The 15,385-nt window shown below is 41.3% G+C and overlaps 2 pseudogenes; both read right to left on the bottom strand.

Moving 5' to 3' along the window:
- Nucleotides 10,292-10,694, bottom strand: RPL39P21 (ribosomal protein L39 pseudogene 21; annotated as a pseudogene).
- On the bottom strand, nt 12,281-12,538 carry LOC100131411 (zinc finger protein 28 pseudogene; annotated as a pseudogene).

Genomic DNA, 15,385 nt, shown 5'->3' with positions numbered 1-15,385 from the left:
CTCACGCCTGTAATCCCAGCACTTTGGGAGGCCAAGGCGGGTGGATCACCTGAGGTCGAGAGTTCAAGACCAGCCTGACCAACATGGAGAAACCCCATCTCTACTAAAAATACAAAAATTAGCCCAGCGTGGTGGTACATACCTGTAATCCCAGCTACTCAGGAGGCTGAGGCAGGAGAATCGCTTGAACCCAGGAGGTGGAGGTTGCAGTGAGCTGAGATGGTGCCATTGCACTCCAGCCTGGGCAACAAGAGTGAAACTCCATCTCCAAAAAAAAAAAAAGAATACCATGCTTGGGTCATATGGCTGCCCTCACTGTGCACAAATTACTAATGCTACATGGCCCACCTCCCAACTAAATTATTACTTTGGAGGAGGCCTGACAATCAAAGTTGGCTTGTATGAGGCAAGTACATGTGCCCAAAATAATCAAGAAAAGGGTTATAGTGACTGGCAAATTCTGAAGGGTTCTTTTCTGTTCATTTCCTAATTCCTCCATATCATTCCACATCTTGAATCTTCACACCTTTTCAGCCTTTCCACACATGCACTAGATCCCTTCTCACCCCTCTTACTCAAGACCTCACACTAGAAATTCTCCCTTCTCTCTCCTGTATTATCAATTTTTTCCTCTTGACTGAACAATTTTCACCAATATAAAAACAGGCTGTCATATTTCCCATATTCTAAAACCCTCTCTTGATCTCACTTCTCCCTCCAAACATTGCCCTAATTTTCTCCTCCTTACAAGCGAGTTCCTTAGAATATATATATATATTTCAATTCTAAGAGTGATAAAAAAAGAATAATAATAATATATACACTGTTTCCAAATTCTTTAGAACCCACTTCAGTCAGGTTTCGCCCCCACTATCTCACTGAAGCTACTTTTTTCAAGGTCTCCAACGATCTCTCTACATTCTTAATCCAATGGTTATTTCACAGTTTTCACTTTACATACCCCATCACCAGCATTTAACACAGTTGATCACTTGAAATAATTGCTTCTTTTAGCTGTTTTTCTTCCTATTCTTCTTCTCAATCTCTTTTGCTAATTTCTTCTTATCTCTTTTGGTGTCTAAAGGTTGGAGAGTCCAGGGTTCAGACCTTGGTCCTCTCTTATCTATGTCCACTCCCTCCCTTGGTAATGTCAGCTGCACTCACTGCTTTAAATTTAATTTTTCAGCTATAAGTGAATGGTTCTTAACATTTATATTTCCAGCCCAGAACTCTACTTTGAACTCCAGACCTTTGTGTCTATTGCCTACATATCTCAAATTTACCACAGCTGCATGAGCTTCTAATAGCCCTCTGAACCAGCTGCTCCTGCAGTCTTCTCTTTCTTAGCTAGTGGCAACACCATACCTCTCACTGCATAGGCCAACCACCTTGGTGTCATTCTGATGTTTTTCTTCTCCCACACCTTGGATTGGGTCTACCAGCAAATACCATCAATTCTACCTTCAAAATATACGTCCTAAATATGATTATCCCCACCGCCATGCCCTGCCCAATCCAAGTCTTCATCATTTCTTGCCTGGATTACTGCATCATTTTTAATTTAATTTTTTTATTTGTATAAATGTAACGGGTACAAGTGTAATTTTGCTACATGAATATATTGCATAGTGGTGAAGTCTGGGCTTTTAGTGTACATCATGCCCATTAATGTACATCATACCCATTAACTAATTCCTCATCATCCACCCCGCTCCCAGCCCTCCACTCTTCCAAGTCTCCAGTGTCTATCATTTCATACTTTATGTCCATGTGTACACATTATTTAGCTCCCACTTGTGAGAACATGCAACATTTGTCTTTGTCTGACTTGTTTCACTTAAGAAAATGGTCTTCAGTTCCATCCATATTACAACAAAATATATTATTTCATTCTTTTTAAATAGCTGAATAGTATTCCACTGGGTATAGATACCACATTTTCTTTATCCAATCATCTGTCGATGGACACTTAGGTTGCTTCTATATCTTTGGTATTGTGAGTAGTGCTGCAATAAACATATGAGTGCAGGTATCTTTTTGATAGAATGATTTCTTTTCTTTTGTGTAGATACCCAGTAGTGGGATTGCTGGATTGAATAGTTCTATTTTTAGTTCTTTGAGAATTTTCCATATTGTTTTTCATAGAGGTTGTAATAATTTGCATTTCTACCAACAGTGTGTAAGTGTTCCCTTTTCTCCCCATCCTCACCAACATATGTTGTTTTTGTCTTTATTAATAGACATTCTGACTGGTGCAACATGGTATCTCATTGTGGTTTTAATTTGCATGTCTCTAATTATATGAGTGATATTGAGCATTTTTTCATATGTTATTAACCATTTGTATATCTTCTTTTGAAAAATGTCTTTTCATGTCCTTTGTCCACTTTTTAATAAGGCTATTTGTTTTGTTGTCGTTGTTGAGTTGAGTACCTTGTAAATTCTGGACATTTGTCCTTTGTTGGATGCATAGTTTGAAAATATTTTATCTCATTCTGCAGGTTGTATGTTCATTCTGTTGATTATTTCTTTTGCTGTGCACAAGTTTTTTGTTTAAGTCCCATTTGTCTATTTTTGGTTTTGTTGCTTGTGCTTTTGAAATCTTAGTCATGAATTCTTTGCCTAGATCAATGCCCAGAAGAATTTTCCCTAGGTTTTCTTCTAGTATTTTTATAGTTTTAGGTCTTACATGAGCCTTTGAGCCATTTGGAATTGACTTTTTTATATAGTGAGAGACAGGGATCTCATTTCATTCTTCTGTATATGGCTATCCAGTTTTCCCAACACCATTTTTTGAAAAGGTTGCCCTTTCCCAAGGGTATTCTTTCGTCAAACTTTGTCAAAGATCACTTGGCTTTAGATATACGGCTTTATTTCTTAGTTCTATTTTGTTCCATTGATCTGTGTGTCTATTTTTATACCAGTACCATGCTGGTTTGGTTACTGTAGCCTTGCAATATAACTTGAGGTCAGGTAAAGTGAGCCTCCAGCTTTGTTCTTTTTACTTAGGATTGCTCTTGCTATTTGGGCTCTTTTTTTTTATTATTCATTATGAATCAGGATTTTTTTAATTTTATGAAGAATGACAGTATTTTGATTGGAATTACATTGAATCTATAGATTGCTTTGGGCAGTATACTCATTTTAATGATATTAATTCTTCCAATCCATGAACATGGGAGGTTTTTCCATTTGTTTGTGTCATCTAAAATTTCTTTCCTCAGTGTTTTTTGGGTTTTTTTGTAGAGGTATTTCACCTCCTTGGTTAAATACATTCCTAGGGTGGTTTTTTTTTGCTGTTGTTGTTTGTTTTGTTTGTTTTGTTTTGTTTTAGCTATTGTAAAAGGCATTGCCTTCTTGATTTGGTTATCAGCTTGATCATTACTGGTATATAGAAATGCTACTGATTTTTGCAGGTTGATTTTTTATCATAAAACTTTACTGAATTTATTCATAAAATCTAAGAGTTTTTTGGTGGAGTCTTTGGGGTTTTCTAGAAATAAGATCATATCATCAATGAACAGGAATAATTTGACTTCCTCTTTTCTAACTTGTATGACTTTTATTTTTTTCTCTTGCCCAATTTCTCTGGCTTTGAGTAGTATGTTGAATATAGGAATGGTGAAAGTAGGCATTATTTTCTTGTTCCAGCTCTTAGATGGAACACATTCAACTTTTTCCCATTCAGTATGATGTTGGCTGTGGGACTGTCATACACAGCCTTTATTATTTTGAGGTATGTTCCTTCTATGCTTAGTTTGAAGGCTTTTATCATGAAGGAATTTCAGTAAATGCTTTTTCTGCATCTATTGAGATGATCATGTGTGGTTTTTGTCCTTCTCTTTATGTGATGAGTCACATTTATTGATGTGCATATGTTGAAACAACCTTGCCTCCCTAGTGTAAAACCACTTGATCATGGTATATTATCTTTTTGATGTGCTGTTGGATTTGGTTTGCTAGTATTTTGTTGGGGATTTTTGCATCTATATTTACCAGAGATATTGGTCTTTAGTTTTTTTGTTTTTTTTCTCTTATGACCTTGTCTAGTTCTGGTATTTGAGTGGTACTGGCCTCATAGAATGAGTTAGGAAAAATTTCCTCTTAGATTTTTTTAAAATCTAAGCAGAGGCTGGGCACAGTGGCTCACGCCTGTAATGCCAGCACTTTGGGAGGCTGAGGCAGGCGGATCAAGAGGTCAGAAGTTCGAGACCAGCCTGACCAACATGGTGAAACTCCGTCTCTACTAAATTACAAAAATTAGCTGGGAGTGGTGGCATGCGCCTGTAATCCCTGCTACTCAGGAGGCTAAGGCAGGAGAATTGCTTGAACCTGGGAGACAGAGGTTGCAGTGAGCACTCCAGCCTGGGTGACAGAGCGAGACTCAGTCAAAAAAAAAAAACAAAAAACAAAAAACACCAAAAGCAAGCAGGAATAGCTATACTTACATCACATAAAACAGACTTTAGCTGGGCGCGATGGCTCACTCCTGTAATCCCAGCACTTTGGGAGGCTGAGGCAGGTGGATCACGAGGTCAGGAGATCGAGACCATCCTGGCTAACACAGTAAAACCCCGTCTCTAATAAAAGTACAAAAAAAATTAGCCAGGCATGGTGGCGGGCGCCTGTAGTCCCAGCTACTCGGGAGGCTGAGGCAGAAGAATGGTGTGAACCCAGGAGGTGGAACTTGCAGTGAGCTGAGATCACACCACTGCACTCTAGCCTGGGCGACAGAGCGAGACTCCGTTTAAAAAAAAAAAAAAAAAAAGCAAAAACAAAAAAAACAGACTTTAGGGCCAGGTGTGGTGGCTTACACTTGTAATCCCAGCACTTTGGGAGGCCGAGGCAAGTGGATCACTTGAGGTCAGGAGTTCAAGACCAGCCTGGCCAGCCTGGTGAAAACCTGTCTCTATTAAACATATAAAAATTAGCTGGGCATGGTGGCAGGCACCTGTAATCCCAGCTCCTCGGGAAGCTGAGGCAGGAGAATCACTTAAACCTAGAAGGCGGAGGTTGCAGTGAGCCAAGATTGCACCACTACACTCCAGCCTGGGTGACGGAGCAAGACTCTATCTCAAAACAAAACAAAACAACACACACACACACACACACACACACACACACACTTTAAATCAAAAACAATTTAATAAAAACACACAAAGAAGGTCATTATATAATGATAAAGGAATGAATTCAGCAAGAGGATATAACAATCCTAAATATATATGCACCCAACACCAAAGCACCCAGGGTCATAAAACAAATATTAGCAGACCCATAGAAAGAGATAGACAGCAATACAGTAGTGGGGGACTTCAATACCACAGTCATAGCACTAGACAGGTCATCGAGACTGAAAAATAACAAAAAAAAAAGGACTTAATTGTTCTTTTGACCAAATAGACTTAGAATGTTATAGACTAATCTGCACACCAACTGTAGAATATATGTTCTTATCAGCACACGGAACATTCTCCAAGACAGACCATATTTTAGACCACAAAACAAGTCTCAACAAATTTTTAAAAATCAAAATCATATCAAGTATCTTCTCAAACTACAGCAGAATAAAACTAGAAATCAACAACAAGAGGAATTTTTGAAACTATTCAAATACATGGAAATTAAACAACATGTTCCTGAACGATCACTGGGTCAATGAATAAATTAAGGTGTAAATTTAAAACTTTTTTGAAATGAATTAAAACAGAAACACAACATACCAAAACCTCTGGGGTACAGCAAAAACAATGCTAAGAGGGAATTTTATAGCATTAAATGCCTGCATCAAAAAAAAAATAGATCAAAAATTAACAACTTCATGTTGCATCTCAAGGAACCAGAAAAACAAGAACAAACCAAACCCAAATTTGCCAGTAGAAAAGAAATCACAAAGATCAGAGCCGAAGTAAATGAAATAGAGACACTAGTGTTATTCCCCGATAACTGTGAGTCTATCTCAGCATTTGCTTATTGGAAGACCCAAACTGACACCAAGTTAGTCTGTAGATTAAATGATACATCTGGCAGAGTGCCCACCCAAGAATTAAATTTTGTCTAAGTTCATCTTGCCATCTTCCTAGCGACAAAATAATAGAAATGCAAATAATCCCAAATAGTGAATGATCTGAGACACTACCTAGATTTAGGTCTCGGGTCCTGACTGTACACATTAACATAGGATTAGTTAGCTTTTTCTAAGTGTGCCAGCACGTCAGAGGTGCTCAGGGAATACGTTGTAAGGGACATAGATTTCTAACCCTGTCAGTAAAATGGAAATGCCAAACTGTCACTTTATCTCCTTCTGGTAATTTGGTTGACTAATTCGATGTTAGATTCTGGTATCTTGACAAGCTTAGCGTTAGCCAGTTACTGGGATGATTTCCAATGCTTAAGGCAGTAATGCCTTATTTCTGCTTTAGCAGTAATGTGACCAGTGCATAACACTCATTAAGGGGTAATGCAGCATTTAATTAATGAGGGGAACTTTCCCCTGAGAGTGCATAGAGGAGATAGCCCAGAGCACAGAGGAGTGTAAGAATCTGGAAGTGACCTGACACTCTGCGCCAAAGCCGCATGGGGTTTATTGGACCCCGGCTCATCCTGGCTTCCTGCGGTGTTGGCAAATTGAAGCCCTCCGGAAGGCATCTTTGGTTTAACCAGCTCAAACTGTTTTGCTCTTTCTGATCTCCACAGAGGATGAGAGGAGCAGGCAGAAATCAGTTGAATTTGTTTTGTGGTAAGAGTTTCTACCAGGAAATGACTGCTCTGGGTTTCCACCAGCTTCAGCAGGAGGGTTAGTTAAATCATTATCCTGCTGGCTGGCATTTAGTCAGTGGACGCCTTTAATCCACAAGGCAGTTTCTAAAGTGTTCAGCTGAAAACAAAGATGCTCTTTACCCCACTCTCTAATGGGGTCCCAACCAGGGTCATTAACTGTCAACCAGCAGATACCGGGTCAGCTTCAGAGGAACTTACATTAGCTGTGCCATTTCCTTTGGAGCTTGACTGGTAGTCATTGACTTTTTTCACCTCATTTCCCGTAGCACTGAAGCAGTTCCGTTGGTAATAGCTGACTCAGGAAACCCAGGGAGCTGCCTAGTGGTGATAGCCATGCCTTGTTTTCCAGAAGCACAAGCCACAAATGGACATATGCCATCTACTAATTGTACTATTGCTGATTTGTATTTATTACATCTCAGAGTAAGTAACAGGCTATGCAGAGCCCCCTAGTGTTTGACTCCACAGAAATGGTATTGATCTGTCAAAGTTTCTTTACTTATCAGTATGAAACAGTATTGTGTAAGCTCTTTGCTCCAAAAGGCCATTATGAAAAGAGGCAATAACAACATGGTACGCCAGACGTGATATGCCGATGCCTCTTGCTTTGCGAGAAAAGACTAGATGGCGAGGTCCCTAGTAGACACAAAGGTTCTGGCCAGGATTTTTAATGGCCAGTTGTATAAATAATTAAGTGAGGAAGAGTAGAGAGTATCTTAGTGTATTCATTTCCTGCTGCCGTTGTAACAAGTGACCACAAATGTAGTGCCTTAAAGCAATACAAATTAACATACAGTTCTAGAAGTCAGAAATCTGACTGGGTCTCACTGGACTAAAACGTGTCAGCACGGCTGTGTTACTTCTAGGGGTCTAGGGGACATCTGTTTCCTTGCCTTTTCCAGCTTCTAGAGGCTTCCTGCATTCCTTGGCTTATGACCCCCAGTCAGCAATCCTCTGCGGCTGTAGTCACATCTTCTCTGACTCTCCTGCCTCCTTCCTTCCCTCCTAAGGACCCTTGTGATAATATTGGGCCCACCAGATAATCCAAAATAATCTCCTCCAATGCAAATCTCTTAATTTAATCACATCTGCAAAGTCCCTTTTGCCATGTAAGGAACCACATTCCCAGGTCCCAGGGAAAAAGACATGGATAGCTGTGGAAAGCCATCATTCTGACTACCACACCTATTAAGGTAATTGCTGTTCTTCCCTCTCAACATTCGAGTTCTTTCAAGTTCCTTTTGCCATGGGAAGACAAAATAGCAATGTAGATATGGTCCCTCAGAGACACAGAATCTCATCTTCCATTGTCAAATGCAGTTTCAATTACTCAGGCAACGGCCATTTTAAAGGACCATAAAAGATAATGGCACCTCCTGGCTGAACAGATGGCCTCTTAGCACAGTTCCGAGTTAGATGTGATAACAGTTTCACGGCTGGGAAGCAAGTGGGGCAAGAGATGGGACTGTTGGAAGGGTAAGATGGTCTCTGAATTGAATCCTCTGCCTTAATGTCCCCTGAGTTTCTGGGTTATCTGGAAAACCCTCCTAGGAGAAGTCAAGGAGCCTCAAAAAGCAAGAACACCCTCTTCTTTAACTGCCCTCTCCACCCTGAAAAGTTGAGATGTGACAGAATGAAAAGAGCACCAGCTTTGGAGTCAGACAGAAAGGCGTTCCAATCTCTGTGTGACCTGCAGCATGTTTCTTAATCTCTCTGGGCCTTATTGTCCTCACCTGTAAAATGAAAATAATATCTACCTCTTAGGTATCTGATATTTATATCAGAAACAATGTATGTAAAGTTCAAAGGATGCTGTTGGGCTTATGGTAGGTGCTCAAAAATAGTAAGTACTATTATTATAGTAGTAGTCGTCGTCATTGTTGAGGATCTGTTGTTACAACAGGAAGTAGAGATTGGAGTCAAAAGTCTGCCATGAAAATTTTAACTGGTTGATATTTCTCACATTAGTACCACCACTAGACATTTGACCAAAGCACGTGAGAAAACTTAAGGGCAAGGATGATAAACAAAAATGACTCTCTCTCTCTACACTTCCACCCCCGATTTCCTGTGCTCTCCCTATCCAAACACTCCTCTGGAAGAAGTCTTGATGGTACCTTCTTAGGCTGTAAGGAAAAGAATTGAACACAGTAATATCCTCAGCCTTGAAGATGTTCAGATTTACCCAGTGGGAAACAATTTCATTCTTCAAATTATTTGCTGAATTAATCTAATTTTATTCCCTTCCATCAAATTTTCAGGTTGGAAGAGGTCCCATCTGCTCTTCCACTGTTGAGAACTAACTGATATCGAATCATATTGGTGGAGCTCAAAATGTCACTGGCAATGCCGACGGGAGGTCGTGACTTTAGATCTACAGCCACACGGGCTTACCTTCAACCCAGCCCACTCAGTTCCTGGCATAGATGGACAAGTCAAAGACTCCCCTAAAGAGTGGGCCCTTTCGTCTGGCAAAAAAAAATAGATGAGAGTAGAATGTCTGCCTCTTGAGGATTAACCTGCTCCAAAATAAGCCCAAGGAAGCTAACTGACCACACTTAATTCCTTCCACTAAATTTACCAACCGGAAACTCCCCTTCCTCCCAAGGGCAAGAATGTGTGGAGGTGATGGGATAGGCTAGGAAAGTTATGGTAGCAGGAATTCCTTTCTCTCTATCAAAACCTGAGTCCAGGATCACTCACAGTGGGGGGAAGCCAGCTGCCATGTCATGATACTCTCAAGAAACCCTACGGAAATGTCCTTGTAGTAAGGAATTGCAGCCTCCTGCTAACAACCAGCACTAGCTTGCCAGTCATATGTGTGAGCCACTTTGGAAACAGATCCTAGTCCCAGCCAAGCCTTCAAATGCCAGAGCCTATTGTGAGGGATGGGGTTTGTCAGGCAGATCAGATCTGCATTTGACAAGCAGCAAATCAATGAAGTAGATACCTGCACAGCTGAAAGTGGAGGGAGAAGATACAATTGATGTGTTGGGCAGCAAAAAAGGAGGCATCTATTTAAAAAAGAGTACTTGCTAGCCAGGCATGGTGGCGCATGCCTGTAATCCCACCTGCTTGGGAGGCTGAGGCAGGAGAATCACTTGAACCCAGGAGGTAGAGATTGCGGTGAGCTGAGATCGTGCCATTGCACTCCAGCCTGGGCAACAAGAACGAAACTCCATCTCAAAAAAAAAAAAAAAAAGTACCTGCTACTTGAACCCAGAACTGTGTTCTACAGACAAAGACACATTCTCAGTTAGAAAACTACAATTTCGTTCCAGGATACGCTAACAAGTAGAGTTTAGTTTTCTTTATTCTTTCATTTTCTTTAATTTATATGTCTGTGTACAAGCACGCTGCTTTTGTTCTTGGGCTTATTAAATTATTTTTACTGAATGGCCAGTGATATGTTTTGATTGGCATCAAATGGAAATGGGGTGGGGAGAAACCGTTTTTGTTAAAATGCTCCTTTTCTCCATTAATGGCATGGAAATTTAACTTTAATTTTTTTAATGAAAAGTCTCACATATTTATTACTGAACCCAGGCAACCAATGCATTCATAACAGATTCAGAGAGAAAAAATGTATGCCAAATAAAACATGTCCAACTCTCCAGATAATGGTGACATTTTCAGCTTGATATGGTAATGTGATTGTGACGCTCAGACAACATAAATATGTGTGCCATCTCATGTGCAATTACTAATAGACCCAGCTTAGTTCTTCTCCAATGTCTCCTTTTGGAGTTGTACCTGATTTTATTACCAGTTTTCATCTGAATCCACTGGGGAATGGAACGGTTTTGCTTTTGTTTCTTGGCCATGAATCGCTTAATTCTGAAAGTCTTGTGAGAAGATCTGGTGAGAAGCACAGTCAAGTACACACCACGATGGCGGAGAAAAAAAGAGAAGGGGCTTGACACTTTTTTTTTTCTTTTGAGACAAAGTTTTGCCTTGTTGCCCAGGCTAGAGTGCAATGGTGCCATCTCGGTTCACTGCAACCTGCGCCTCCTGGGTTCAAGCAATTCTCTGGCCTCAGACTTCCGTAGAGCTGGGATTACAGGTGCCCGCAACCAAACCCAGCTAATTTTTGTATTTTTGGTAAAGACGAGATTTCACCATGTTAACCAGCCTGTTCTCAAACTCCTGATTATTGTTTCTGCTATTAGCTGTCAGTCCTCTTCACTGTGGTATGAACAAGATTATTTTGTGTGTGTGTGAAACTGATGGGGATGGTCTGCCTGCCGCTCCGTGCATCACTTTCAACACTGTCTTGTCCCAAATCAAAATGAGTTCTTCATTTACAAACTGTTGATTTCTTTTGGGCATCGTCTCCATAACCTTTTCATAAAACATCAATGATTTCTTTATTCCTCTACCCAAACTTTACCATAAGTATTCTTTTTTTGAGACAGTATCTTGCTCCATCACCCATACTGGAGTGCAGTGGCATGATCACAGCTCACTGCAGCCTCGACCTCCCAGGCTCAAGCCATCCTCCCACTGCAGACTCCATAACAGCTGGCCCTACAGTCATGTGCCACCATGCCCAGCTAATTTTTGTATTCTTTGTAGAGAAAGGGGTTTCACCATGTTGCCCAGGCTGGTCTTGAATACTTGGGCTCATGTGACCCACCTGCCTCGGCCTCTGAAAGTGCTGGGATGCCAGGCACGGTGGCTCACGCCTATAATCCCAGCACTTTGGGAGGCCGAGGCGGGCAGATCACGAGGTCAGGAGATCAAGACCATCCTGGCTAACACGGTGAAACCCCGTCTCTACTAAAAATACAAAAAATTAGCTGGGCGTAGTGGCGGACACCTGTAGTCCCAGCTACTCAGGAGGCTGAGGCAGGAGAATGGCGTGAACTCGGGAGGTGGAGCTTGCAGTGAGCCGAGATCACACCATTGCACTCCAGCCTGGGTGACAGAGCGAGACTCTGTCTCAAAAAAAAAAAGAGTGAGCTACAATTAAAGGCTTTGCCAGTCTCATTACATTGGAAAGATTTTTCTCTCATGTGTACTTCCTGTTTTTGTGTGAGTAATGAAGAATGGGGGGAATTATTCCCATACTTATTAGAAATATGGGTTTGGGGCCTACAAGAAATTCTTTGGGATGCTGAAACTGAGAAAGCATCGTTGATAGACTTCTCAACTTGATTACCAATTTTCCTTTCAGGCTGAAATGTGTGCATTTCAGTCAGATGAGAATGAAAGCTTGATCCAAGCTGATCTTTAATAGGCTTGTTTCCAGCATACCTTTGATCATATTGGTCTGTACTACCCATCAACTTTTTTATTTCTGTCATGGGTGCTTCCTGGCCATTTCTTTCATCTTCTTGCCACTGAAACACAAAGTCATGAATATCTTTCTCAATTTCCTGGAAGCAAAAATCTCCAATGTGATGACTTGCAAGTCTTTACAATGTGCCTATGTGGAACACTTCTGTATTGCCTTGCCCTGTTGATCACAACTTCTTCATCATGCATTTGGAAGAGATATCCGGGGAGATCAGGTTCCTATAATTCTCCAACATCACGTCTCTGTATAAAGTCCTCTGGGCAGGGTTCAGGCATTTCCACTTCTCCTGAGATAATTCTATGGCCACATCCCTGAATGTCAATAGACCCTGAGGAAGAGCCATCCCTGACCCCTTTGCTTTCCTCTTCCTCTTCCAGGTTTCTTCCTCGTGTACCAAGAGTCTTTAGAAGTCAATCCACCGTGGTCTGATCTTCACTCCACGGGATCCACTTCCTGATCCAATTTAACTTTAATCTTTACATGCTTTATATTTTTAATGAAGAAAGTGAGGATTTTTTTTTTTTTTTGAGACAGAGTCTCACTCTGTCACCCAGGCTGGAGTGCCGTGGTGTGATCTCTACTCACTGCAACCTCCACCGTAAGTGATTCTTGTGCCTCGGCCTCTCGAGTAGCTGAGACTACAGGCATGTGCCATCATGCCCAGCTAATTTTTGCATTTTTAGTAGAGAGATGGGGTTTTGCCATGTTGGCCAGGCTGGTCTTGAACTCCTGACCTCTAGCGACCTTCCCGCCTTGGCCTCCCAAAGTGCTGGGATTATAGGCGTGAGCCACCGCACCCAGACTGAAAGTGAGGAATTTAGAATAAGCTCAGACTCCTGTAGGACCATAGTACCTTAAATCCTAAAGATGAAAACTCAAAGAGTAGAAATAATAATAATAAATTATACTGATTCTTGTGATTTGGGTTTTTGTGTGTCAGTTGTTTGGGCAGTTAACCCATCATCTTCAAGAAAACTGATAGCAAATGTCCATATAATGTTGAAGGTCTAAACCCTGAAACAAACAAAAAACAAACAGCAATGACAATGAACCTGGCATCAAGAAAGATGCTGGGCTCAGTGAGATGGCTCATGTCTGTAATCCCAGCACTTTGGGAGACCAAGACAGGAGGATTGCTTGAGCCCAGGAGTTTGAGATCAGCCTGTCCTACATGGCAAAATCCCAAATCTAAAAAAAAAAAAAAAAAAAAAAAAAAAAAAAATTAGCCTGTTGTGGTAGCATGCACCTGTAGTCCCAGCTACTGGGGAGGCTGAGGTGGGAGGATCGTATGAGCCCAGGAGGTCAAGGCTGTGATAAGCCATGATTGCACCACAGCACTCTAACCTGGGAGACAGAGCTAGACCCTATCAAGAAAGAAGAGAAGAGGAAGAGGAAGAGAAGAGGAGAGGAGAGGAGAGAAGAGAAGAGAAAGAAAAAGAAAAAGGAATGGAGGGAGAAAGGGAGGGAGGGAGGAAGGAAAGGAAGGAAGGAAGGAAAAAGGAAGAAGGAAAGGAGGAAGGGAAGGAAAGAAAGAAAAGGAAGAGGAGGAGAAGGGGAAGAAGGAGAAAAAGAAGCCAAAACTCTGAAGGCCTCCTAACATTATAACTGAAGGGACCCTTTGTGAACCAGAGAAATAGGCAAAGACAAAACAGAATATCCAGAAAGGAAAGAAAACAAACAAGAGAAAAATATAGTAAAGAAAAATAGCTCCTGATTGTATGCTACATGCTAAACAAATGTTCCTAACATCATCTTTGGAAAACGATCTGAGTTTGAGCCAGCCACAAAGTGCCACTGTTGGTTAGTTAGAACGTCATCCATTAGCTCAGATGGGAGGATGAGGTACTAAAGCTTTGATAACTGCAGATGGAGTTTATATTTTACCATATCACCAACATACCAACAATGCTGTCAAGCAAACAAGGGTGATTAGACTGGAAAACATCAACAAATGGCTTAAATACATTATCTCATCTTCCACATGTTTCTACCAAAGAAGGAAGACAATTGCTATAGAACCAATAATAACAACCAATCTGGGATGTCACAAGTCTATCTTTCAAAACTTGGAAAAGTTTTGTTGCTTCATATAGAAGCATGCTCTAGCTTCTTTAGCAAAAGCTACACTCTATTTCATCTAATTCCTCCAGAATTTGTATGCACGGCAAAGCAACTTGGGTACTGTGGTTCAGGAAGATGCCATCATATTTTGTTTATGAATTCTCAAGCCTCACAATGTTAGGAATGACAGTCGGAGAGGTAATTTCCACGAGTTAGACTTTCCAGTGCGCAAACCATTTCAGTGGATGCGAGTGCAGTGTTTATCTGCCTTTTCTCATAAAGTCATATAAATGTAAATTTCATGGTTTTCTGTATTTCCCTGCATCAAGTCAAGTAGTGCATATTAACTACTTGATGAGTTCCTCCCTTCACCAGAGGAAAAAACAAAACCCTTGCTCATTTTGCTAGTGGATCCTGGATCAGAGAGAGGATATTTTTCTATTCAGGCCTATAGTCTGGGGCTGCCCAGAGCAGCTCTGATCACATGTAGGGCTTCATAAAAACAAATGCAGCCACTCTCAGGTCTGTTTGAGCCAGCAGTCTGAAGAGACTTCAGGCCTCCCAGAGCACCTCTGTTAATTAAGAGGATGGGTTTCAGCACCTCACTTGGTTACCCAAGGGAGAAGGAATGTTGGAGGAGAAATCCCTTCTAGGACAGGAATCTCCTCCTGGACACACGATGGTAGTGTACACACACACACCCTCAGGAGACGAGACACTTGGGCCCTCCTGACTCTTTCAGGTGGTGCAGGGTTCTAGCCTCCTGGAGGGCCCCACCTTTCCCACAGCTCCATGCCCCCTCTTCTGAGGGAGTAGGAGAAAGAGAACAATTTCCTCTCCGTCCCTTTCTCTGTCTCTCTCTCTCTCTTCCTCCTTTTTTTTCTCTCTCTCTCTCTACACACACACACACACACACACACACACACACACACACACACACACACACCAGGTTGTGAATTAAGACACTGATGGCCTCCTCCAGGCTATACGCATTTTGAGGCTCTGTAAAAACTGTCTAAGAGGAGACCCAATAGAAATGAATCCAGAGATGTGCCAGTGGGAAATCAATTGACCCGCAAGTAATAAGTTACAATTTACTTACATGTTCACACTGCTGAGCATGGAAAGTGAAGTATCTGGGATAATGAATGCCCCCTATCCTGTCCATATAATTCTGTACCAACACTGGTATCATTTCGGCAACACTCAGTGTTGGATTTTTGTTCATGATGGTTTTCATACCCA

The sequence above is a fragment of the Homo sapiens genome, chromosome 5 (genome assembly GCF_000001405.40).
Source record: "Homo sapiens chromosome 5, GRCh38.p14 Primary Assembly".
Lineage (NCBI taxonomy): Eukaryota > Metazoa > Chordata > Mammalia > Primates > Hominidae > Homo > Homo sapiens.
This window is presented reverse-complemented; position numbering and strand designations above follow the sequence as displayed.